The sequence below is a fragment of the Homo sapiens genome, chromosome 4, assembly GCF_000001405.40.
Source record: "Homo sapiens chromosome 4, GRCh38.p14 Primary Assembly".
Taxonomy (NCBI): domain Eukaryota; kingdom Metazoa; phylum Chordata; class Mammalia; order Primates; family Hominidae; genus Homo; species Homo sapiens.
The window spans coordinates 123,304,013-123,330,381 of record NC_000004.12 but is presented as its reverse complement, the minus strand read 5'-3'; the positions used below and the strand labels follow the sequence as shown (position 1 = coordinate 123,330,381).

Below are 26,369 nucleotides of genomic sequence, written 5' to 3'. Positions count from 1 at the left end.
TGTCTCAAAAAAGAAAAAAAAAGAAAAATAATAATAATAATAATAAAACAACGTTAACAACATTAACACCCTTGTACATCTCCATCAGTGCTTTGGGTGATCAGGTACATTGTTAATGAACGGTAATATTTTAAAAGGAATCTTTTTTGCTGAGCAGTAGATCTCAACAGTATACTTGAAATATTCAATAAACCATGCTGTAAATAGATGGGCTGTCATCGAGGTTTTGCTGTCCCATTTACAGAGCACTAGCAGGATAGATTTAGCATAAATCTTAAGAGCCTTAGGAGTTCTGGAATGGTAAATGAGCATTGGCTTCAAACTAAAGTAACCAGCTGCCTTAGCCCTTAACAAGAAAGTCAGCCGTTCTTTGAAGCTTTGAAGCCAGGAATTGACTACTCCTTTCTGGCTGTGTAGTTTAGTGAGGCCACTTTCATTAATTATCTTAGTTAGATCTTCTGGATAACTTGCTGCAGCTTTGACCTCACCACTTGCTGCTTCACCTTACACTTTTATGTTATGGAGATGGCTTCTTTTCCTAAACCTCATGAACCAAGCTCTGCTAGCTTCCAACTTTTCTTCTGCAGCTTCCTCACATCGCTCCACCTTAAGAGAATTGAAGAGAGTTAGGGTCTTGCTCTGGATTAAGCTTTGGCTTAAGGGAATGTCGTGGCTGGTTTGATCTTCTATCCTGACTACTCAACTTTCTCCAAATCAGCAATACGGCTGTTTCGCTTTCTTAGCATTCATGTGTTCACTGGAGTAACACTTTTAATTTTCTTGAAGAACGTTTCCTTTGCATTCACAATTTGGTTAATTGTTTGGTGCTAGAGATATGAGATATAACTTTTGGCCTATGTTGGCTTTCAACGTGCCTTCCTCGTGAAGCTTAATCATTTCTAATTTTTTATTTAAAGTGAGAGATGTGTGACTCTTTCTTTCACTTGAACACTTGAATATTGTAGGGTTATTCATTGGCCTACTTTCAATGTTGTTGTATGTAAGGGAACAGGGAGGCCCAGTTAGAGGGAAAGAGGAGCTGGTTTGTGGAGCAGTCAGAGCACACACATTTACTGATTAAGTTCACCATATCTTACAGATGTGGTTCGTGGGACCCCAATAAAATTACAATAATAACATCAAACAGCACTGATCACAGAACAACATAACAGATATAATAAAAATGAAAGAGTTTGGAATATTACTAGAATTACCAAAATGTAATACAGACACAAAGTGAGCAGATGCTATTGAAAAACAGTGCCAATAGACTTGTTCAATGCAGGGTTGCCATAACCTTCAATTTGTAAAAATTTAGTGTCTATGAAACACAGTAAGGCTAAGTGCAATAAAATGAGGTGTGCCTGTATACAGAAAGCTTGACAGCTAAGCTGGTGGTGGAGATGGGAAAGGCCCTCGTTCTCCACCTCCACTGAATCACCAGTGAAGGGGAGAAAAGAATAGGGGCGTGTGGACCTTCCCATTCACTAAAACCAGAGGAGAAACTGACACAGGCAGACAGTGATGGACAACTTCTGCCCAGAGAATTGGACAAATGTCGTTGATCCTACTGGACTGTTTCCAGCTTCTGCCCAGAGAATTGGACAAATGTCCTTGATCCTACTGGACTGTTTCCAGGGCTAGTGGGTTCTGCAATGATGAACTCGAACCCACCCCAAGAGGGTGAAAAGTATGAAGTACACCCAAAGCCTCTGGAAAAATCCTTATGATTCTTTGGGTTAGTACAGCCCGGCTCTGTGCTAAAACATCACTGTAGTATGTTTTCAGGTACATCAACTTTTTGTAACAAAAACCTACCCAAATCTCAAAATTTTACAGAAGTTGGGACCTTGTGACTTACGAAATGTTTAAAAATGTGTGCTAACGTTTTAATATCTGTTTGAATGATTCCTCCAACTCCTAGCTTTTACTTGATATTTTATTGCTAAAACGAGAGTGATGTGGAGGGATAAAGTGGTGACTTGTTCAAGGTGAACCCGGGAAACACAGGACTTGATTTCTCTCTAGACTGAACCTCGGAAGTCTTAGTTGGAGCAGCTGGAATGGCAAACCATCCTTCTTTGACTCTCAGCCAATGGGTTCTTTTCCATTCACTCATTCAGTCTCATCAACTTTTCTGAAGAACTCCTACTGAGAAGTTAAATGGAGGAGGTGAAGCAGAGAAGGCCACAGAAATATTTTTCTGGAAATATGCAAAGAAAAAAGAATGTCATGTTTTAAGATTTGGCATAGAGGCCAAATAACTTTCCTTCACTTATAATGGAAATTGGGGATGAAATTTGGACTGGTTTCAGGAAAACTGTAAAAAATGACATGAATTTGAGATGAAATGTAAGAATTTGATCAATGACAGGAAATTCTTTGTGCCCTAATTTCCTGACCACTGACCTCAGCGGGCCCTTAGTGCTGCCTGGCCACCTTCCTACACATTTGTGGGCAATTAACTCTCTCTTCTCAAACCTCCAAAGTCTCCTCTTTCATCCCTATACTCAGCTGAGAGCTCTGCTTCCTATTTCGTTGAGAAAAACAGTCCTATGTTTCTGCCAAATGCTCTCCATCTGCCCCATTACCATCTACCTTGCCTTTCCCACTGTAACCACAGGAAATTTCTTTGTGCTCCTATCCAGGGTCAAGCCCATCTGAGGCCCTGGACCCTGTAATCTTTCCTGTCTCTGCCATTTACTAGGTCTGGATCTAGGGCTAGCATCCTTTGTCTTCATTATGCCAGGAAAGCTCTGAGGTCTCAGTCTCATTAAACATAGGCCATTGTTGAGCCCAAGTTTCAGACAATCAACCAAGTGAACTCATGATCTTTCATGCGAATACCAAACTGACAACTGGCATCCTGGAGAGAGGAAAGAAATGCTATCAGCTAAAAGAATGTCGTGAGATTAGAAATGGGAGAAGTGCCATAGATGGTAGAACTCAGTACCTTATGCTGGCTTTCTATTGTAAACTGGATGAAGTCTAAAGGTTCAACGTGTTTGGCAACGTAGGAGGCACTGTTTGAGGCTGGTGGATTAAAGAAAGATGTATACTTATGGTGGAATCAGCTTATATAACTTACTTCCAAGTCTGAATATTGTCGAGTATATTTTTGTTTCTAATTTGTTTATGTCATGGGAGCCTTCAGAACAACTTTTGACCATGTACGTTTTAAAGGCAATATTTGAACAACTGATGAATGCAGGAAACAAATTACTTTCTTTTTTATTCCGTTTACTTTAAGTTCTGGGATACATGTGCAGAACATGCAGGTTTGTTACATAAGTATACATGTGCCATGGTGGTTTGCTGCACCCATCAACCCGTCATCTGGGTTTTAAGCCTGACATACATCAAAGTACTTCCTAAAATAAAAGGGCACATATATATTAAGATCATCACCAGCAATAATTATTACAGCCATATAGTTAATGTGGCATGACATTATTTGGCAAGCCTTTTAGAAATCTAGAACAGACCAAGTAAATATTTCCCCTAATTTTACTTTCAGCATAGTGTTCATTTACTTATTCCTTTAACAAATATTTATTACGTACTGTATATCAGGTGTGATTCTGATGCCAAAATGTAGCAGCAAATAAAACAGATAAAAATCCCTGGCCACATGCAGCAGTGGGGAAAAATAAGCAACAAACAAGTAAATAAGTAAATTAAAAAGTAACCTAATAGAGCCACTTGCAGCTATCCAAACTAAAACATTTAATCCAGAATCTCTGATGAATGCACGTATATCAATAAATTCAGCTGATTCCAGCGTTGCATTAAATCCACCTTGGTCTAATACCTTTAGAATCCACACCCACAAACATTCTGTCTCCCATTGTTGGCATGCGTGGGGGAAGGGAAAGCACAGTAAGGCTGGATTTGCAAAAGTTGGATTCAGTCGTTGCTGTGGGAAGGGACTGCTACTGTCAGGGTAAAAAAGGGGAAAAAAATACCATGGTCAGGGGATGCTTAGGAAACAAGCAGGAAAGACCCGTGGGGTCTGCAGGAAACAAAGAGGAACAAGTTCCTCCTTCCTACTCCATCCTTGAATTCCGCCTCTCCTGTTGGCACAGCCTATTAAGGCATCAGCCAGCAATGCAGAAATGGCTTGTCTAGTGACTGCTTTAGCAACCCAAAGCAAAGTTTAGAAGCTTGGATTTGGAGATAGAAGAGAACTTAATAACTGACACACTTATTATATTAACAATTTTTGAAAAACAAATTATGTAACTCATAGTGCAACCCCTATTTACCCTTTATTCATTATCCCATTGATACTGCTTCCTTAAAGGTCGCTAATGAACCACTAAGAACTACATACAAGGGTCTTTACTGGATTGGTTCATCCTCATGATCTTCTGTTACTGCTTCTTGAAAATGCCTTGTTTCTCAACTGACGAGGCGTCCTTTTGATGTGTCTACATTCTCTTCCTTTCCGTGTCCACTTTATGGAGACACTAGCTAAGAATCCAGCTTACTGAACTCCAGGGCTTGCAAAGGGAATATGCTCCTTTAAGACTGAAATACAAAATACATTATTTCTGGAACCGTGATAATCTGAAAGCAGTTTTAAAACTTCCTGATGTTGTTTACTGTTGTTCTCAAGATAGAGAAAAAATTTATCTTGGAGGCAAAGATTCTTAGTTTAAAAAGTCAATGTAAATTTTAGTTATTAAAAAATAAAAACAAAGATCTCTTTCTACAATGAAAATGCTTGAGACAATTGAATGAAATGACTCAGCACCATAACATTATGATGTTCATGGTGGGCAGACCTTGAGGAGCTTGTTAGCAGGCAGCACCAGGGGCCCGGGGATGCGGAGTGGCTTACTGGATTGGGAAAGAATGTGGAATGGGGGTGAAGTTGGCAGTGGAGAGCAGGTGTTAAGCTCCTGCCAACATATACTTAACAAACTGAAAGCACTAATCAGGGACTGAGTCCCGGAAAGTACTTGAGGAAGTGAAATTGGTAGAAGGGGCTTGTGGTTGTTGGTGGGAGAAAGACTCAAAGACATAAATTGAGTATGAAAGGAAATGTGACCTTATTTTGTTATAACAGTTAGGTATGGGGACATATTTACATAATCCCTCAGTTACTTATTTTGGGGTTCTGACTCTATTCCCTGGTTTGACTTCATTGACTGGTGCTCAAAGAAAAACGATGAACAAAAGTGGTGGTAATGGATCTTTGTTCTAGCTTCTGATATTTATGTTATTAGCTATTGGTTTAGGACTATTATTTTTAACATGTTAATGTTATCCTTACTTTTTTTTAAAAATGAGAAATGGATGTTAAATTCCAAGACTGACTTATTGTTTTCTACTTTGATTTATTCATGTTAAATGATCATTCGATTTGAGTAATAACTTTTTAGGTCCTTCTTTTAGAGATTTTGATACATAGCTACTGAAGGGGGGCTTAGCACCATTTTAGTCATAACAAGAACTAAAAAACTTGCTTTTTCTTTATGCTCATCAACAGTTAAAATAGCATAACAATGACTGGGTTGAAAATCTGAATAAATTTTTGCATATGAAGTCATCTGTGCTGAAGGATGTTTTGAGAAGTAGCTATATAAAAATCAATTTCAGGCCGAGCGTGGTGGCCCAAGCTTGTAATCCCAGCACTCTGGGAGGCCGAGACAGGTGGATCACCTGAGGTCAGGAGTTTGAGATCAGCCTGGCCAACATGGAGAAACCCTGTCTCTACTAAAAATAAAAAAATTAGCCGGGCATGGTGGTGGGCCCCTGTAGTCCCAGCTACCCAAGAGGCTGAGGCAGCAGAATCACTTGAACCTGGGAGGTGGAGGTTGCAGTGAGCTGAGATCGTGCCACTGCACTCCAGCCTGGGTGACAGAGCAAGACTCTGTCTCAAAAAAAAAAACCAAAAAAACCCAAAAACAAAACAGGGTTTTTATTAGCATAGGTAACCAAACTTTTTATTTCCTTCATAAATGTGGTTCCTTCCTAATAATTTTATTTGTGGTTTTATTGTCTTTATTTTTGTATAAATTTAGGGACTGTAAGTGCAGTTTTGTTACATGGATTTGCCCCTGGTGTTGAAGTCTGGGCTTTTAGTATAAACATCACCTGAATAGTGTACATTGTACCAATTATGTAATTTCCCATCCCTCACCCCCTCCCACCCTCCTACACTTCCAAGTCTCCAATGTGTGTGCTTTATTTAGCTCCCACTTAGAAGTGAGAACATGCAGTATTTGACTTTCTGAGTTTTCACTTAAGATAACAGCTTCCGGTTCCATCCATGTTGCTGCAAAAGATATTTCAATCTTTTTTATAGCTGAATAGTATACCATGGTAAAATATATGCCACAATTTATTTATCCACTCATCTGTTGATGGACACTTACGTTGGTTCCATACCTTTGCTATTGTGAATAGTGCTGCTATGAACATAATGAGTGCTATGAACATAACGAGTGCTATGAACATAATGCGTGAATACTTTCCTTTGAGTATATACCCAGTAGTGGGACTGCAGGATCAAATGGTAGTTCTTTCAGAAATCTCCATACTGTTTTCCATAGACATACTAATTTATATTCTCAGCAACAGTGTATAAGCACTCCCTTTTCTCTGCAGCCTCACCAATGTCTTTTTTTTTGGTCTTTTTAATAACAGCCATTCTGACTGGGGTAAGATGATTTCTCATTGTGGTTTTAATTTGGCGTTCTCTGATGATTAGTGGTGTTGAGCATTTTTTCATATGGTTGTTGATCATTTCTGTGTCTTTTTTTCGAAAAATGTCTATTCATGTTCTTTGCTCACTTTTTTATTTATTTTTAAAATTTTTTATTTCCACAGGTTTTTGGGGAACAGGCAGTATTCGGTTACATGAGTAAGTTCTTTAGTGATTTGTGAGATTTTGGTGCATCCATTTCCTGAGCAGTATACACTGAACCCAATTTGTAGTCTTTGATTGCTCACCCGCTTCCCATCCTTTCCTCCTGAGTTCCCAAAGTCCACTGTGTGATTCTTGTATTTTTGCATCCTCATAGCTTAGCTCCCACTTATGAGTGAGAACATATGATGTTTGGTTTTCCATTCCTGAGTTACTTCACTTAGAATAATAGTCTCCAATCCCATCCAGGTTGCTGTGAATGCCATTAATTTAATCCTTTTTATGGCTGAGCAGTATTCCATTGTATATATATGTGTGTGTATATATATATGTATATATATATGTGTGTATATATATGTATATATATATGTGTGTATATATATGTATATATATATGTGTGTATATATATGTATATATATATGTGTGTATATATATGTGTATATATGTATACACACACACACACCACAGTTTCTTTATCCACTCGTTGACTGATGGGCATTTTGGTTGATTCCACATTTTTGCAATTGCGAATTGTGCTGCTACATGCATGAGCAAGTATCTTTTTCGTATAATGACTTCTTTTCTTCTGGGTAGATACCCAGTAGAGAGATTGCTGGATCAAATGGTAGTTCTACCTTTAGTTCCTTAAGGAATCTCCACACTGTTTTCCATACTAGTTTATATTCCCATGGGTTTGCCCACTTTTAAATGGGGTTATTTCATTGCTGTTGTTATTCTTGCAAATTCTGGATATCAGTTCCCTGTTGGATACACAGTTGGCAAATATTTTCTCCCTTTCGTCAGAATGTTTGTTCACTCTGTCCTTTTGTGCTGCAGAAGCCTTTTAGTTTACTTAAGTCCCATGTCTATTTTTGTTTTTGTTGCTTGTGCTTTTGAGGTCTTAGTCATGAATTATTTGACTAGACCAATGACCAGCAATTTTCCCTAGGTTTTCTTCTGATATTTTTAGTTTCAGGTCTTACATTTAAGTTCGTGATCCATCTTGAGTTGGTTTTCATATATGGTGAGAGGTAGGGGTCCAATTTCATTCTTCCACATATGGCAATCCAATTTTCCCAGCACCATTTATTGAAAAGGTGGTCCTTTCTCCAGTGTATGTTTTTGTCAGCTTTGTCAAAGATTGTTGGCTTTGTCAAAGATATGTGGCTTTATTTTTGAGTTCTCTATTCTGTTCCATTGATCTGTTTTTATACCAATACTATGCTGTTTTGGTTACTATATCTTTGTAGTATAGTTTGAGGTCAGATAATGTGATGCCTGCAGCTTTGTTCTTTTTGCTTAGGATTGCTTTGGCTATTTGGGCTCCTTTTTGGTTACATATGAATTTTAAGATGTTATAATTCTGTGAAAAATGATGTTGGTATTTTGATAGGGATTGCATTGCATATGTAGATTGCTTTGGGCAGTATGGTCATTTTCACAATATTAATTCTTCCAATCTATGAATATGGCATTTTTCCCATCTGTCTGTATCATCTATGATTTCTTTCATCAGTGTTTTGTAGTTTTCCTTGTGGAGAATTTTCATCTTCTTGGTTAAGTATCTTCCTAGATATTCACTTTTTTTTTTTTTGTAGCTATTGTGAATGGGATTGTGTTCTCGATTTTCTCAGCTTGATTGTCATCAGTATATCAAAATGCCATAAATGGTTTTGTTATCTTTTAAAAAGCAATCTAGAAAGTGTAGCAATTTTCAATTTCTGCTGTAACTTATCACAAATTAGTGGATTAAAACACAAATGTATTATCTCACAGTTCTGGAGGTCAGAAGTCTGAAATGAGTCTATAAAATGGGGCTGAAATCAAGATGTTGGTAGAGCTGTGTTTTAGAAGCATTAGGGAAGAATCCCTTTCCTTGCCTTTTCCAGCTTCCAGAGGCCACCTGCTTTCTTTGGCTTGTGGGCCCTTTCTCCATCCTCAAATCCAGCTGTGGAGCATCTTCAAATGTCTCTCTCTGACCTTTGCATCATTGACCAATTCTCTTGCCTCCATCTTTCCCTCATAACGATCCTTGTGACTACATTGGGTCTACTAGAAAAATTCAGGCTATTCTCCTATCAAGATCCTTAATGTAATCACATCTGCAAAGTTCTTTTTGACATCTGAAGGCTACATAACAAACACATGCATAGGTTCTGAGGATTAGGACATGGACATACTTGGATAATCATTCTGTCGAACACAAAAAAGATTAATTTGTTTTGTTTTAGAGTTTGTTCTTCAAACAATGAGCTGTTGGACTGACCACTTCTGTTTTTTAATTTATTGATTTCAGCTTTTACATTTTTTTGAGATTAATTTTGTAGTTTTTTTTTAAAATATAAGTTTTTAGTAGAATGCTTAATTCAGTTAATCTTATTCTATTAAGGAAAGTGTTCAGGTGTACAAATTATCCTCTGTGTAGAATGTTAATTGTGTCCCACCAATTGTATATAGTACTTTCATTATTATTTTCTAGATATTCTCCAATTTTGTTTTCGATTTCTTCTTTGTTCAAGGAATCACTTAACAATTATTTTTGAGCTTTTAATTGGTTGATTTTTGTTGTAACTGTTGTTTCTACATTAGTTTTATGTCATGGTAGTTATAGGGTACATTCTGCACCATATCTACTTTAGCAAATACATTGTTATATACGTGTGTGCATGTACCCTATAATTACATGTATCATGAGTATAAAATGATGTGCATTCTCTATTTGCAGAGTTTAAACATATGTGTTATTAGTTATTATTCAGATCCACTGTATCTTGGAGATAATGTCTACACTAGGTCATAATTTTTTTTTTATAGCAGCATAATGTTCCATTATATGGATGTACCATACTTTATTTAAATAGCCCTTATGGATAGATAACTGAATTGTCTTTTTAACAAAGCTGTAATGAAAAAATTTTATACATACCATTTTGTAACTGTGAATGTATATCTGAATGATAAATGGTTTAATGTGGAATTTCTGAATCTAAGGCTACATGAGAGTATTATTTTTCTTCTTAGTCCCTTTCCTTTGCTCTGTTAATTCTGTTTAAATCTGACTCAATTATTTTATCTACTGAATCACATCATCCATGTTTTCTTAACTTTTTTTGAGACTTCAAAGCCATTGTATTCTAAACTTTTTTCCTCTTTCCTCAGAAAATGTTCCTTCTTCCAAATGTACCCCAGCTTTCTTTTGGTGTTTTCTCTCCTCCTCCCAGCCTTCCCCTTCACCCCACATTTTTGGCATAGTTCCCCTGCTATTTTCATTTGGGATATTTCACTTTGTGATTATTCACGGCCCCAAAATAATCTGCATTCAGTATCTTTAATTCTCCTATTTGCTTGTCGCAATTTTCATTATTACCTATAATTATGTTGGGTGCAAGTAATATTTTAATGGCTGTGGGTGTATTATAAAATATTTGAATGTATTATTACATGTTAATTTCCTTTGCATTTAACTGTATTTCATTGATTTTTATTATATATGTTGTTCACATTTTAATGCTTCTGGAATCAGGATGTAATACCATTAACATGCAAATCAATATTATAGTACTTTATCTTTTTTCTAGAAAAATATGTTTTTAAATAGTGAGGCTTACAATTGATGGTGTATTGAAACCAAGTAAACAAGGTATTTCCTGTCACACTGAATGTGTTGTCAAGCACAGTACATGTAAAACTTCCTAGATCCTTTTTAAGTTGGTGTAAAATTGAAATCTGTAATACGTGTTATATTTGTTCCCTATTTTAAGCATAGATGAATTCTATGTTTCTATTTTTTTTTCTTTTCATATCCTTGGGTTTTGCTGTGTGTGGGTGTGACACTTAACCGTCTTTCCAGAAATGTTTATCACTAAATCCTGAAAGAAGAGTCTACAAATTTCCATATGATTTTGTAGGACTCTCAAAACCCTGTAACATCTCTTTCTGCAAAAATTTGTTGGAGTAAGGGGTATATTTGATAAAGACATTAGGCAAAAGGCCTATGTGTGCACACAACTGTTATAATGAAAATCCAAGGAAGAAAGGCAAATTTGTAACATTAGAATTTCTATGTGGACCACATTTGGAAAGCAGTGTTAATTTAATCCATACATAATATCAAAGGATGCTTTGGTGTGTGCTCATCTTCAAAGGAAGCATTCAGGAAAACATGACACAATAAGCCAAGACTCTAATAACCTCACATTCTGGAACTTCAGTAAAAACAGACCAGTACAATACCTTTATTCTATCTTTACAGCAACTTTTTCTGTAACCTTCTGATTAGGCTAAATTAAACATATGTTCAAGTTTGGTTCTATAAATTAAATCTTTTTTTATAAATGCAAAATCTATATATTATTTTTAAAACCTGTTTTACACATTAGAAATAAGACAGAACTAAATATTTATCGAGATAAGTTAGGGTAGTTTCTTGGCCATGAAGAAATAAGTTAGAAGCCGTTCTAAGTTTTGTTGTAAGAAGAAAAAATTGTACTATTCAAACTAAAATCTCCTGGAACACTAAAAAGACATGTCAATGTGAATATCCCTGACATCCGAAAGAATCTGGATCAAAGGCAAACTTTCAACCAAACAGATGCCAAAAAGTAAATTGTCTTCCTAAGACAGGAAGCTGGCCATTTTCTTTCCTTGCTGAGCTTAAATTTTCCATGAACTATATACCATGTATTCGATCACACACAAACCCAAATAATAGGATCATACACTGTTCCCCCCTTTTTTTTTTTTTTTTAAGAGATAGGATCTCGCTACATTGACCAGGCTGGATTCAAACTCCTGAGTTCAAGCGATCCTCTCACCTCAACCCCCGACCGAGTAGCTGGGACTACTGGTGTGTGCCACCATGCCCAGCTTTCATACACTCTTGTAATACATAAACATGAGACTCTGGGATTAGAAGTAAAACCTTCATGGAGATGAAGCTGAGGTAAACTGTTATTAGTGACACCTGACCTGCTCTTTTGTATGACTCAGATTTTTACTAGTACTTTTGTAAAAAGGGAACAAGCTTCAAATAGAAGAATTGCATGCCTTTTCAATGGTAATAATGGGCTATGTGGAGATATAAATAATTGGCTTATGAGAGACTAAAGATATAATGTTCTAAAATCTTTAAAAATTCATAACTTCCAACTCCTTTGCAGGACTACAGTGCTATGGAAATAGATGTCTTATTCCCAGACATAATGTCTCCCATTGTGTCAGGTAATGAGAGTGTCAGCTACACATTACTTTCAGCAACAAATTCCTCTTTATTTGTTTCCTAGGTCCTAAAAGCCTGATCTCTTATTTGCCTTCTTGCATTTTATTCCATTGTACCCAATACTCCTGATTTTCCAGAAACATGGGGTTGTGGGCACTGTGGATTGCATTGTAAATTCATGGAATTGAGTTAAATGATATGACTGTATTGGTTTAAGGCCCATCTTTTAAAAATTATCACGAAATATTTAGGTACACAAAAAGTACAGACTATATTAAATCAGCACCTATATTCCCATCACCCACCCTAAGATATGAAACATTACTGACACAATTGAAGCAGCTCAACTTTTCTCCCCTGAGGAAATTCCTCACCAGTATTTGGTGCTTTTCTTTTCTATTCATTTATTCTTCCACTATATATGCCCCCATAAACACATATTTTTCATGCTTCAAATTTTAAATATCATATTCCTCTAAAACATTCTTTGTTCATCCATGTTTCATCCCTATTTCATATGTAGCTCTAATTATTTTTTATTGCCACAGTATTCCATTGTATGACTATCACATATATCTATTACTGATGGATATTTAGATTGTTTCCGGGTTCTTACTACTTAAAAATAATGGTGCTATGAACTTTCCTATTCACTATCTCACTGCATCAATGTGAGACTTGCTCTGGGATATGCACCTAGGAGAACTGTTAGATTGTAGGGTCTTCAACTTTGCTAGATAGCCAGTTGCCTTCCAAAGTGGTTGTACCAATTTATGCTCCCATCAGCAGATCTGAGGCCCCACCCATCACATCCTGTGAGATTACAAGCCCTTGGTAAGCAAGGCATTAGCTTTTGGAATCCTCTGAGACGAAGCTACATTCCTGTAACTAGTCCAAGTGCTAGTTACCCCCAGGGCATTTTTAGCTTGGCTCCATGTTTTTAGGTTAATTTGTAGGTTTTGAGGTTTCATGAATTTGAAGGTAGTGTGAATTCAAATCATTCTAAAGCCATGGGCAGGTAAGCTCATAGTCAGAATTCTCAGAGGTTTTTTTTTTTTTTTTTTTGAGACGGAGTCTCACTCTGTCACCCAGGCTGGAGTGCAGTGGCGCAATCTCAGCTCACTGCAAGCTCCGTCTCCCGGGTTTACGCCATTCTCCTGCCTCAGCCTCCCGAGTAACTGGGACTACAGGCGCCCACCACCATTCCCGGCTAATTTTTTGAATTTTTAGTAGAGACGGGGTTTCACTGTGTTAGCCAGGATGGTCTTGATCTTCTGACCTCGTGATCCGCCTGCCTCGGCCTCCCAAAGTGCTGGGATTACAGGCATGAGCCACCGCGCCCAGCCCAGAGAGGCCTCTTTTAAAAAATGTTTTAAAAATCAAAAGCACAGGCCAAGTCAGAAAGCCTCCTTGTGGTCTTCCTGGCCAGCAGGAGATTTTTCTTTTCTTGTCTACCCTTGTGCTGAGAGTGTTGGTTATTATAGAGCTTGAGCATTATGTGCAGAGCTCAGTTGTCACTTCATGTTATATGGGCTGAAGGCTTTGAGTGGCTATTAATATCTAAACTTGTTGATTGAGACTGCTACCCTCCTCCCCACCACCCAGCCTCCTGCACCAGAGTCATTTCAAGCTTCTGGTTTTTATTCTATTGGGAATGAGATTTCTTTCATTTCCTTGTTTAGGCCCTGAAGGATAAGTTTTCCTCTTATTTTCTTGTGCCCTTAGCCATATATTTAATAGGGAAGAAGGTAAGTTCCTCTCTTGTTTCATAATTTTCTATGTAGATAACAACTAAAGGGAACACAGAGCATAAAAGTTTTGAGGTTGTATTTATTTCAATATGGAAGTCTTGTTTTCCAGATCTGCAGCGTCCAAGAGAACCTTCTGAATGATGGGAATGTTTTCTACTCTGTCCAGTGTGGCAGACCCTTGCCACATGTAGCTATTGAGCATTTGAAATGTGGCTGATATGTCTGATAAACTAATTCTTAAATATTATTTAATTGTAATTAATTTAATTAAAATGGTCAGATACAATTAGTGGTTATTGTATTTGACAACACAGTTCTAAGTGGTAATATTCTTTGTCCCCTAGGTGGGTTTATGTACTGGTAAACCAGTGTTGTCTTGAAAATCTGATATTTTTGAGGATGTAAATATATTTGAGGATTAAATATTTGAGATGTGACTTCAGAATATATGTCACCACAGGCTGGGCATGGTGGCTCACACCTGTAATCTCAGCCCTTTGGGAAGCTGAGGCAGGAGGGTCACCTGAGGCCAGGAGTTGGAGACCAGCCTGGGCAACACAGCAAGACTCTGTCTCTCTGTTTAAAAAAAAAAATTAGCCTGACATGGCAGTGTGCACCTGTTGTCCTAGCTACTCAGGAGGCTGAGTCAGGAGGATCACTTGAGCTCCAGGAGTTTGAAGGTGCAGTGAGCTACGACTGTGCCACTGCATTCCAGCCTGGGTGACACAACAAGATCCTATCTCTAAACAAACAAACAAGGAATGTATGCCACCACAAAACTGTATAGCCCATTATTTTGATAATCAGGTATTTCTTGTCTGATTTGTCTTTCTGGGAATTTTCAAAGATCTACAGTGATCAAGTTTAAGTGCACATTCTTCCCATTGCCAGTTTCTGATCTGAAGTCAGAGAATCACTTTCTGAAAGCTTTTTCAAGAGTATTTATGAAGTAATAAAGTGTGAAGAAATCCTGAGGATAAATAACAAGAAGCATAAATATACATATTTAGAATGCAACATAATATGTTTAAGATTACAATTTGGCGGCAGGGCGCAGTAGCTCATGCCTGTAATCCCAGCACTTTGGGAGGCCGAGGCGGGCGGATCACGAGGTCAGGAGATCGAGATCATCCTGGCTAACACGGTGAAACCCTGTCTCTAATAAAAAAAAAAAAAAAAAAAAATTAGCCAGGCATGGTGGTGGGCACCTGTAGTCCCAGCTACTCAGGAGGCTGAGGCGGGAGAATGGCGTAAGTAAACCCAGGAGGCAGAGCTTGCAGTGAGCCTAGATCACGCCACTGCACTCTAGCCTGGGCGACAGAGCAGCGAGACTCTGTCTCATAAAAAAAAAAAAGTACAATTTGGCCTATCTTTGAACTAAAAAGTTTACTGGTACCCTGAAAATATGTATAAGTAAAAACATGAATGCTTCATATGATTTATTAAAAGCATTTTATGAAAAAAAAACAAAAACACAAAACCTCTCCAGGTATGGTGGCTCACGCCTGTAATCCCAGCACTTTGGGAGGCTCAGGTGGGTGGGTCACCTGAGGCCAGCAGTTCGAGACCGGCCTGGCTAACATGGTGAAACCTTGTCTCTACTAAAAATATAAAAATTAGCTGCGTGTGGTGGTGCACACCTGTAGTCCCAGCTACTCAGGAGGTTGAGGCAGGAGAATTGCTTGAACTCAGGAGGCGGAGGTTGCAGTGAGCCAAGATCGTGCCACTGCACTCCAGCTTAGGTGACAGAGTGAGACTCTGTCTCAAAAAAAAAAAAAAAAGACAAAACAACAACAAAAAAAACCCAAGCCTACTGATCTAGGCTTAGAGTGGGCTTACACTTTCAAAGGGCATTGTATTATACAAAATATCTCTCAAAAAAAATTTTTTTGGCCATAGGTAGAGATTAAGAAGGCTAAAACAAAAATGCATATATGAATTTTAATGATAACACATATATGTATATTTGAAAACAAGGCCACATAAGCCTGGCTGGCACATTGGGCCATTTTACTGGCTGGCCTTCAAAAATAAAGATTACAAAAAATTTATCCACATACACTTTTTTATATCCCTAAAGATTACAAAAAATTTATCCACATATACTTTTTTATATCCCTGTATAAAATTGATGCCAACATGTTTGGCATTTTAGAAAGACACTCAAACAGATTCTGGAAAAAGAAATCGCTTCATGGGATGAACAGACTAGGTCGCAAATGAAAAAGCTAAACATTTGTTTTTTAAACCACACCACAAATTTCCAGGTAAAACTGATTGAAACTTATGCTCAGAGATATTTTCACTGTACTTACATGACTTGAAAATCTGTAAGAACCAAAGCCCCTAAATTCTACTGAACATACTTCAAACATTTTGCCTAGTAAAATTTTTTTTAACACTCTCAAAAAATTTTAAAAAGAAACAAATTTTCTCTGGAAAGGATTTTCAGCATCTTGAATATATATATTTTCTCAGAGTGTATGCAGCCCACTCTTCTCTTGATAATCTTCATAAAAACGTCTCAATGACTCAGGAATTCTAGGTGTCACAGTGCTCAAGGCCTGAGTGAAATGTCTTTTCATGATGAGATTGGCTTGAATGTCTTCTTCCAGAGCCAGAAGAGCTGCCTCTCTGCAGACAGCTACAATCTGAAATTTTAAAAAATAAGTAAATAAAAGGAGGTAGAAAACAATCAGTACTCTTTTAGAAACATAATATTCCAAATATTCATCTGTGGTACCTTCTACAACTAAATGCCCATTGCTAAAATTTATCTGCAAGAATTAGTCCACTCAAGTTTTCAAAAGGATAAAAGGTAATCATATACAGAGCATTCTGTTCTTTCCTTCATCCCAAAGCAACGTATTAAGTACTCAGAACCAGGAGTGCCAAAAGATATCTAAGAAGTGGCATTTGCTTTTAAGGGCATTTGCTCTTAACTGTAAGGGTAGGTAGCTGTGCACGCACATACTTTTAACAAGGGATGGCAAAGGATGCATGTCTCTATGTGGTGGAGGGAGGCGGGAGCCAACGGTCAAGGGAGGGCAGAGGGGGAGATATTCTGATACAGAGTGAGGCCTTGCTCATCAACACACCGTGTCATAGCACAGAGTTTCCACATTCCTTTCAACCTTTGATGTATTACCAACATGTAAAAGCATTTCTTTATGTGTATCTCTTTAATGAGTTCTTAAATCTCAGGAATATCAGATAGGGTTGTCAACATTTACTTTGGAGAGCTGCATTAGAACAGAGAAGTGAATGCTGTTTACTCAGCCAGGAAAGCTGGAAGAATTGAAAAGAATCTGGGGAGGGGGCGGAATGGATGCAGAGGGAGGAGGGAGGAGGCAGTAGGAAAACGGAAGGGGAGGAAGGTTCAAGAATCCCGAAATGTGTTTTTAAGCTCTCTGGACTTCAGACAGCGGAAGCAGGCTGATGCCAGTGTCATTCTAAAGACACATTACGGTAGTGAAAAGAGCTTGTGGGATGAAAAGAGATATTGTGATTTTCAGGGCAACAGGGAAAACAGTGATTGATATTGACTGCGCCCTTATATTGGTAAATGAAAGGGCCAGCTGAAACACATTTGTCCATCCATTCAGCGTATTTTCTCTGTTTGTTCACTCACTGAAAAGAGTTCCTCTGCTTATGCTGGGCTAATGGCTGCCAAAGCAGTTTAGTAGCTTTTTAGGGGATTTAGCAGCATGTTTAGGGAGCTTTCAAAAACATGCATAGATTTAGATGGCTTTGTCAAATTACGACAATGTAACTATTAGTTCTGGGCTTCATTAATGAGCGCCGAAGTTAACTGTAGTGGTTATGCATGTTAATGTTTTTCTGAAAAAAGAGGGTGGCTATCATCTTGTTGAAGGAAAAAACAAAACTTCAAGGGATTAGTAAAACCACTTTATCACATGTTCTGGTGCAAAAAGAGCTCTTTTGAAAACAAGAATGTGATAATTAATAAGCACAGTAAAAACCTGTGAAATGACCAGCATGGTAAACTGGCTATCCAATGGTTCCACTGTGTTCTAAGGGGACCTTGGAGATCTCTACAAAGGGAGGTGAAGGGACCAAGTGGGAAGAGTCCCCACCCACACCCTTCTGAGCAGCACTTCTTTCATCTGGACAAGAATTTGAAGCAATGGTTGCAAGGCTAAGAAGTCTGAAGAATCACTGGAAGAGGCAAAGAGCACTACATTTCCTGCCAGGTGACGGAGCTCTCTTTCTCTCTCCTGCATACCTCCCCCACCCCTCATAGCTGAGACTCCCTCAGAGAATAGAGAGCCTGGCACATAATGGTTGGGAACATTTATTGAGCACCTACTATGTGAGTGGACAAATATTAATTACTGTACTATTTCATTTGCTATATGACTGATATCTCCCTGTTTTTGCACAGTGCAGTGATCTTGCTAATAGGGGTATGTGTAAAGTCTGATGGAAACACATCCAACAGAGTGGCCAGATGAGCATGTGTACCATGGTGGCCAGGGCGGGGGTTGGAAAAAGAGCAGGGTTGAGAAAAAAAGAGGTAACCAAAAGGCTGCCTGGAACCTCTCAACGTTTCTGGGTTTTGATTCACATGGCGAGATGGGCGGTTTGCCCCGCTGGCACATCCGAGGAAGGGAACCAATTGTCAGACAGGCTTTCACTCTCAACACACAGTAATCAAACTGGCAGAAGAAGAAATGGTTGTACTCCTGTAATCACTGGAACCTCAGGGAGCCTAATACAGCACAGTAAATAAATGTAGGTAGTGGGAAATGTTATATCATTAGGGCCTAGAAGGCTGTCCTTAGGGTCAGTTCCCCTGGGCATTCCTCTTTGCAGAATCACTTACTTTCCTTCACATTTGCTTCTATAGATTTTCTCTCTCTTTTTTTTTTTTTTTTTTTTTTTTTTTTTTTGAGACAGAGTCTCGTTCTGTCACCAGGCTGGAGTGCAGTGGCGTAATCTCGGCTCCCTGCAACCTCCGCCTCCTGGGTTCAAGCGATTCTTCTGCCTAAGCCTCCTGAGTAGCTGGGACTACGGGCGCGTGCCACCACGCCTGGCTAGTTTTTTGTATTTTTAGTAGAGATGGGGTTTCACCATATTAGCCAGGATGGTCTCGATCTCCTGACCTTGTGATCCGCCCGCCTTGGCCTCTCAAAGTCCTGGGATTACAGGTGTGAGCCCCCGAGCCCAGCCTGCTGCTATAGATTTTTCTATGAGCTATAAGTTGTTGTTTTGTGGTGGCTTACATGGTAATGACAAAGCGGCTTTAGTGATCAGTTATGGTCAGAGAAGTAGTGACCACCTGAAATGTGAATGTTTGTAACTTGGGGCCTCTAGTATATGTCAACATTTGGGAAAAATTTCCCTACTATATTTAGTACTCCCCTGTCTCTTAAACAATTCCATCTAGCTTGGAGAACTACGAAACTTGAGATATAGAAAACTTGGACAGAGTTTTGACCAGATCACTAATGGTTGGATGAGATAGGGATGACCTAGAGAACTTCTGAGTGTTAATGAAAAGAGAAACATGGGTACTCAAGGACCTCAATATGAACGTGACTTCTTCTGTGTAGAGGAAGGAGTGCAGCTGTCTGTATGTCCTAGGGCGGGAGAAACACTGCCTGAATTCAACACTTGCTTCAATAAACATTACTCTGTTTCTTTTTATTTATAAAGGATGCTCTGAAGAACTAGTCAATAAGGTCATCTTCTTCTGCCACTCTTACTTTCCTATCACATTTACTTAGCAATATACTGCCAGTAACTGAGGGAAATGTAACCAGGACACTACAAATAATTAGCCAGTCATTCTTTCGTCAATCAACATCCACTGAATAGCTACTCTGTGCAATAACTATATTAAGCCAGGTGGAAGATCCAGGCATGTCTAAGATATAGCACCTGTCTTCCCCTGCTCACAAACCAGTAGTGGATGCATGTAAGGTAAATGCCGTGTGTACCATGGTATTAGAAGTACTTTCAGGGAGGCAAATGGAAAGGGCTTTAGTGTGGAGAGAAGGAATAAGTTACAGCTTTGGAAACCAAAGTGTGAAGAACAGAACTGAGACATGCATACAGGTAAGGGAAAGGAATAAAATGAGTAGAGAAGCAGCAAGGTGGGAAGAAAGAAAACACGGATTACATTGAACTAGCCTCAGTAGACAGAATGGAGAAATTTTTTTAAAAGAATAATTCTACCATCAAATATAACTAAAATTCACAATGATAGTGTTTTCAAAGTCATGTGGGCCACAATGACAGTGAAAGCTAGTCAATGCCAGTCCTCTCTAAAGCTCTAAACCAAATCCACAAGCAGCTGATGCACAAGCAGCTGACAGAGCGCCACTCCTAAAAGTTCCTTTTGTTTTTATTTTTTCCTCATGAAAAGGCTTCTTAGTAGAAATTCCAAAAGCAAAAGCATTGACTGGATTATTGGTTCTTTTCTCCTACCGCGAATAAAAAGGTAGATTTGGAAACAGATGTATTCTTAGGATGTCCATGATGGCTGGTTTCTATTTGCTCTGGGAGCCACTTACTGTGGTATGAGTTCCAAGATATGATATAATATCTCCCAAGAAAAGTGCAGCTCTCCTGCTCTTCTCATGGTCCACGCCAGCATTTCCGTTAAGAAATCAGTGTGTTCAGGAGAAGTATTCCATGGTCAAATAAGTTTTGGGCAACACTATACAGGTTGAGTATTCCTTATCTGAAATGCTTGGGACCAGACATGTTACAGATTTTGGAATATCTGCATTCTACTTACTGGTTGAACATTTGTAATCTGAAAATTTGAAATCCAAAATGCTCCAATGAGCATTTCCTTTGTGTGTTATGTTGGTACTCAAAAGTTTTGAATTTTGGAGCACTGTGGATTTCAGATTAGTGATACTCAACCTGTATATATTCTGTTCCCCATGGTGCACAATAGAATTTTAAAGGTTTTACAAAGGCTACTAATGATGGTCAGTTTGATTTTCTTTAACCCAGTGCAATGGTCTGAATGTTTTTCTCCAAAATGTATATGTTGAAACTTAATCTCCAATGCTACTAGTATTAAGAAGTGAGGTCTTTGGGAGGTGATTAGGTTGTGAGCGTTCTGTACTCACTGACAGAATTAGTACCCCTATAAAAGAAGCCTGATGGAGCTGGTTGGCCCCTTCCACCATGTGAGGACACAGCTAGAAGGTATGTCTATGAGGAATAGGCCCTCACCAGACACCAAATCTGTTGGCACCTTGATCCTGGACTTCCCAGTTTTCAGAAGTGTGAGCAATAAATTTGTATTATTTAAAAATTGCCCAGTCCAAGTTATTTGGTTATAGCAGCCAGAATGGACTACGACACTCGTTGTTTCCCATAGAACTCTTCCCCTCCTATTTCTGGCAGAATATCTATAAATGGTTTAATGGTGATCTTTGGCACATACTTTGGGAGATACCAAACAACTCAATCAGGGCACATTATGGCTCTTGCTTATTAGCATAGCTTTTTACTTTTGCTCTCCCCATTCCAAAATAGAAAAAGGAAGCGGGTGGAGGACAGAAACACAAGGAATAGACATATAGACATATTCCTTGTGTTTCTGAGAAGATGGGGAGAGGACATGAGAGACAGAAGGAAGGCCAGTGTGTTTAATGGGTCAAAGGGCAGCAACAGTGGTAGCAGCCAAAGCACTTACTTGTGCTCTGGCTATGTAAATAGTCAAGGTATGTTTGCTGAACTGAATAGTTACTTAACTACAACTACCTTTTCAAAAAGATGCATGCTATGTTCATCTTCCCCAGATTTGGCCAATCTATAGTATTTTTAGTTACTTATGTTTCATATGATCTAGATAAGCAGTCCCCAACCTTTTTAGCACCAGGGACTGGTTTCGTGGAAGACAATCTTTCCATGGACAGGGGGCGGAGGAGTGCGGGTGGTTTCAGGATGAATCCGTTCCATCTCAGATCATCAGGCATTAGACTCTCATAAGGAGTGCACAACCTGGATCCCTCACATGCACAGTTCACAATAGGGTTCCCACACCTATGAGAATCTAATGCCGCCGCTGATCTGACAGGAGGTGGAGCTCAGGTGGTAATGCTCACTTGCCCACTGCTCACCTCCTACCGTGTGGCCTGGTTCCTGACATGCTACGGACCAGTACCGGTGCATGGCCTGGGGGTGGTGGGAACCCCTGATCCAGATGTTGTCAGGTCTTCTTAAGTTCTTAGAATGAAGAGAAAGTAAATAACTAAAATTGTTTAATACTGTGATGTATGTTCATCTCAAGCTATGTTTTCAGTTTGGAGCACTACTCTGCATTTAGTTCTTTCTGTAGAACTAATTTCTAACATAAATTAGAAATTCTAGCAAGAATACAGCTATGCTTTTGTTATTTTTGAGAGATGCTTTCTTCGGTATCAAAATGTATCCCACAGGAACAGGAGCTTCTTTGTTGTATTGTCATAGAAAAAAACTGCACTGGAATGGAGCACAACTTCAGAAAATTTACAAACAGTGCAGTAACATATAGTCACGTGTTGCTCAACAACAGGGATATGTTCTGAGAAGTGCATTGTTAGGTGCTTTCACTGTTGTGTAGACAGACTGTCCTTACACAAATCTAGATGGTAATAGCCCATTCCACACTAGGCTATAGGGTCTATTCTATTGCTCCTACACTACACACCTGTACAGCATGTTACTGAATACTGTAGGCAGGCAACTGTAACACAATGTAAGTATTTGTGTATCTAAACATAGAAAAGGTACAGCAAAAATATAATATTGTAATCTTATGGGACCACCATTATGTATCTGGTCCATTGTTGACTGAAATGTTATTATGTGGTGCATGACTGTATATTATTTTGGAGAATTAGAATGGAATCTTTGCTAAAAAAAGAAAATTATGCAAATGGCGATTTATTGTCTCACTTGATGAAACTAACCTAAGATTACGGGATTTTCCTTTCTGTGTTAAGCTTTGGAAAAATGAGGTCTTTTCAGATAAATCTGTCAACATATCTCTCTATTTAGGAATGAATACTACAGAAACTGAGGGAAAAAACCCTTCAATTTAAACTAGGACCTTTCTCATTACTAGCTATAAAGTTTATAGGAAAACCTAATGAGATAAGTATGTGTGTGTTTGTGTGTTTGTGTGTGTGTGTGTATCTACACTGAACCCAGGGACCACCACAAAGCTCATCACTCTGCTGGCATCACATTCAAAATGCAGATGGAGCTGGGTGTAGTGGTGTGGGCCTGTAGTCATGCTACTTAGGAGGCTGAGATGGGAGGATCATCTGAACCCAGGAGTTCAAGGCCACGCTGGGCAACACTGCAAGACTCTGTCTCTAAAAAACAAAAAGCAAAAGTAGATAAAGTCTGGAACAGTTTCAGTGATGGGGGAATTCAGCTGAATTGTTCCTATGAGGCCATAAAGAACTCTGCTGAGTAGATGTATAGGTGAATAGACAAGTTTGAATCACAGACTGTCTGGAATGTTAAACTAACCCATTTAGAGAGAAAACCTGGGTCGCTCAAGCTCCTTAACTTCTTTGGCAAAAAGGATTTTGGAAGCTTTCCCCTAATCCCTTCACCATCTTGTCCTCTTCCCCCATAGGCTGCAGACTACATCATAGAAATGAATTACTAGCCAACTACCAGCAAGATTGCTTTTGCTATTAGGCTGTAAAAACAAAAACGTTTTGGCCAGCTCTATAAATCTGAGTATTTCATCTTATTCAGTTTTGACTAAAAAATGGATACCTGACCAGCCTGGCCAACAGGGTGAAACCCCGTTTCTACTAAAAATACAAAAAATTAGCCGGGTGTGGTGGTGCATGTCTGTAATCCCAGCTACTTGGGAGGCTGAGGCAGGAGAATCACTTGAACCCGGGAGGCAGAGGTTGCAGTGAGCCAAGATCGTGACATTGCACTCTGGCTTGGGCAACAAGAGTGAAGCCCCATCTCAGAAAAAAAAAAGAAAAAAAAATTGATATCCAAGCTTTAGAATATATATATATATACAGCTTTTTGCAAAGGTAAAACATTATCTGTTTGTGAAAATGAGAAAATAAGACAAAAAAATAGCAGAGTGGGCCCAAGATCTCACTGTCAGAGCTAGACGAAGACATGCCTTTGTTTCAGTGGCTATGACACTAATTTATTTGGTGCCAACATGTCACAAATTTTCTTTCCATTTGTTCAGCAGTAATAATAGATCTGACGATCGAATATCTGACAAAAACATAAAACAACAAAGGCAGGATCTCACAATGTGAAGGATTTAGGCATATTTGAAATGAATTCCTAGGACGTAGGAAAAGATTTTTAACAAAAATGTTTAGAAATCCTCACAGACACTGAATAAAATAGTAATTAGTTTCAAATGTGGGGAAAAAAGCAATGAAAGCAAAGGGACATGTGAGTATAAAGTTTCATGCTATGCTAGCTCTCTGAAAAAGCAGTTCCTTTATAACAACAATATAGCAATAACTGGATTACGCGAGACAGCTCCACTTGTGAGCAGTGTGGGGAAGCAACTCCGCGGGATGAGAAGGCTCTTGACCATTGAACCTTGGGAAATCTAATTACCTCACTTTTAAATGCAAAAGGGCAAAAGAGGCAATTGTGCAGAATTCTGAATGCCATGAAGAATAAGAACAATGTCTTACTTCACTGTGGAAAAAAATGAAACCTCTTATACATTGCCTACGGTTCTTTCCCCCAATTCATGAGACAAGAAGAGTTTAAACAGGTGGCTCAGCTTAGCAAAACAGAAACAGGCGTATTGTGAAAATTAAAACCAACATGGTTTCTAAGCAAGCAGTAATAATTTAAAAAAATGACGTGATAAAAAGTAACAGTCAAGGCAAAGACTGTTTACCAAAAACTAATCAACAGGAAGGAAAAGCTGAAAACGTTGGGCCCTATTCTGGGTATTCATTCCCGCTGTGCTTTAACTCTTCCCATGTTCTTTTCAGTTTCACAGTAGTACTAGGGGCTTTTCTGGTGCGTTGACAGATTAGAAACCCAATTGTAAATTTAAGCAGTTGCTTCCATTTCCAGATAAGACCTGGGTAGCGTCAGCATGTCCTCGCTATTGGCTGTAAACAGGTTACAATAATGACAACAGGCAAACATACCCATGAGAGTGGCACACAGGCGTGGGAAGAAGGGATGCTGCTGTAAGTGCGCCTGAGGAGTAGGGGAACCAAGAACCGCTCCCTTCCAATAGGGATGCCGAAATTCTAACTTGACCTTCCCCACTACATTCTTAACTGCCTCTCAGAGATTATCGATATCCTCAAAGAAAGGTGGAAGGGTAACAAAGGTCCGAAGGTGACTTAAACAACTACCTAATTTCTGCTTGGATCCTGTCATCCCCTCCCCACACTTCTGGCAGGCACAGGGAACACTTGGATCTGTGGAGAAAATGAAGCCAGCACTTTAAAATGTGTCAGAAGATGAAAAGTAGTTCCTGATAGCTGAATTCATTCACCTAGTTTAACCAGCATGTGGCAGGGCTGCTTAAAAGTTCATAGGAAAACTACAACTGCATCCTAGAGATTGTAATTTAAGAGTACACACAAGGTCATGGCTATGCAGCAATTTCTTGTGTGAGTGAGTGAACTGCACAGTTCAGGCTACAGTATCAGACGCGACCAAGCTGGAGGAGGGAGACACCCCTCACGTCCTTTTTCTGCAGCTGCACACTGAATCCACGTATTGGCAGAGATGCTGTCTCTGCGCTCGGTCACGGCAGCCTGGCTGCTGCCCCCGCTGTTCTGCATGAAGCAAGCACGCCTTCCACTGAGGCCGAAATGTGCTTCTCAGCTTCTTTGTATTTGAAGGGTACTAAATAGCTTTAAAGAATCTACCAAAAGAAATGGGCTGCAGTGCTTCAAAAAGTCTTAGGTATTTTCAAGAAAGTGGTTTTGTTAAAAGCATCTTCTGTCTGGAACACCTGTGACCTGTTGAGCTTAATTGGGCTGCAGCTGGCGATGATTGTGGTGCAGCCGCTGGAGGGCCCAGGCGCTGACATTGTGTTGCCTCTGCTCACCCGCCCCCTCGCTTTTCTTTTCACTTTCACAGCCTTGCGACCTCCTTCCTCTGTGTGTCTGAGGGATTAGGAACCCAGTAGAGAGTGATGTCCTGCTGTTTGCGAACACATGCACTGGAGGTGCTTCAAGGAGGAGGCTACCTGGGAGATTATGTGCTCATGTGGATGCAGGGGGAGGGCCCTTTACCCAGGCCCATTGAGACCTGATGAAAGGTGCTTGAATGGCCAGGCATGAAAGATGTGACTGAAGGGAGCACAGCAGGCTCCTGGCTGCAGAGCAGCAGATGGAAGTCAGACTATCACAGGCACAAACAGCAAGGGGTGCCCCAAACTGCCAAGAAAGCAGCTCAGGGAGTAAAATGGCATTGGAGAAGGGAATTCAGAGGTAAAGCAAGCAGCACTTATTTTTAAAATGCCACTTCACTGAAAACCATTTAAGCGGTGAGTAGAGTAGTATTTCAGAGGACA

At 39.2% G+C, this 26,369-nt stretch overlaps 1 protein-coding gene and 2 long non-coding RNA genes across 7 annotated transcripts in view; 1 reads left to right on the top strand and 2 right to left on the bottom strand.

Moving 5' to 3' along the window:
- Window positions 1-1,925: 1,925 nt before the first annotated feature.
- LOC124900772 (uncharacterized) lies at window positions 1,926-3,653 on the bottom strand. Its single transcript, XR_007058261.1, has 2 exons — window positions 3,564-3,653; window positions 1,926-2,203 (listed from the first exon to the last, which is right to left on the bottom strand). It is a non-coding gene; the product is annotated as an uncharacterized LOC124900772 (long non-coding RNA).
- A 213-nt stretch (window positions 3,654-3,866) lies between these two features.
- LOC105377404 (uncharacterized) lies at window positions 3,867-4,723 on the top strand. Its single transcript, XR_939169.1, has 2 exons — window positions 3,867-3,943; window positions 4,304-4,723. It is a non-coding gene; the product is annotated as an uncharacterized LOC105377404 (long non-coding RNA).
- Window positions 10,949-26,369, bottom strand: part of AFG2A (AAA ATPase AFG2A) — a 396,356-nt gene continuing 380,935 nt past the window's right edge. For all 5 annotated transcript variants that reach the window (NM_001438322.1, NM_145207.3, NM_001437913.1 and 2 more), the window contains one exon: window positions 10,949-16,494. In NM_001438322.1, the coding sequence (NP_001425251.1) occupies window positions 16,318-16,494 (177 nt within the window). In that variant the 3' untranslated portion in view covers window positions 10,949-16,317. The remainder of the gene's footprint in view (window positions 16,495-26,369) is intronic.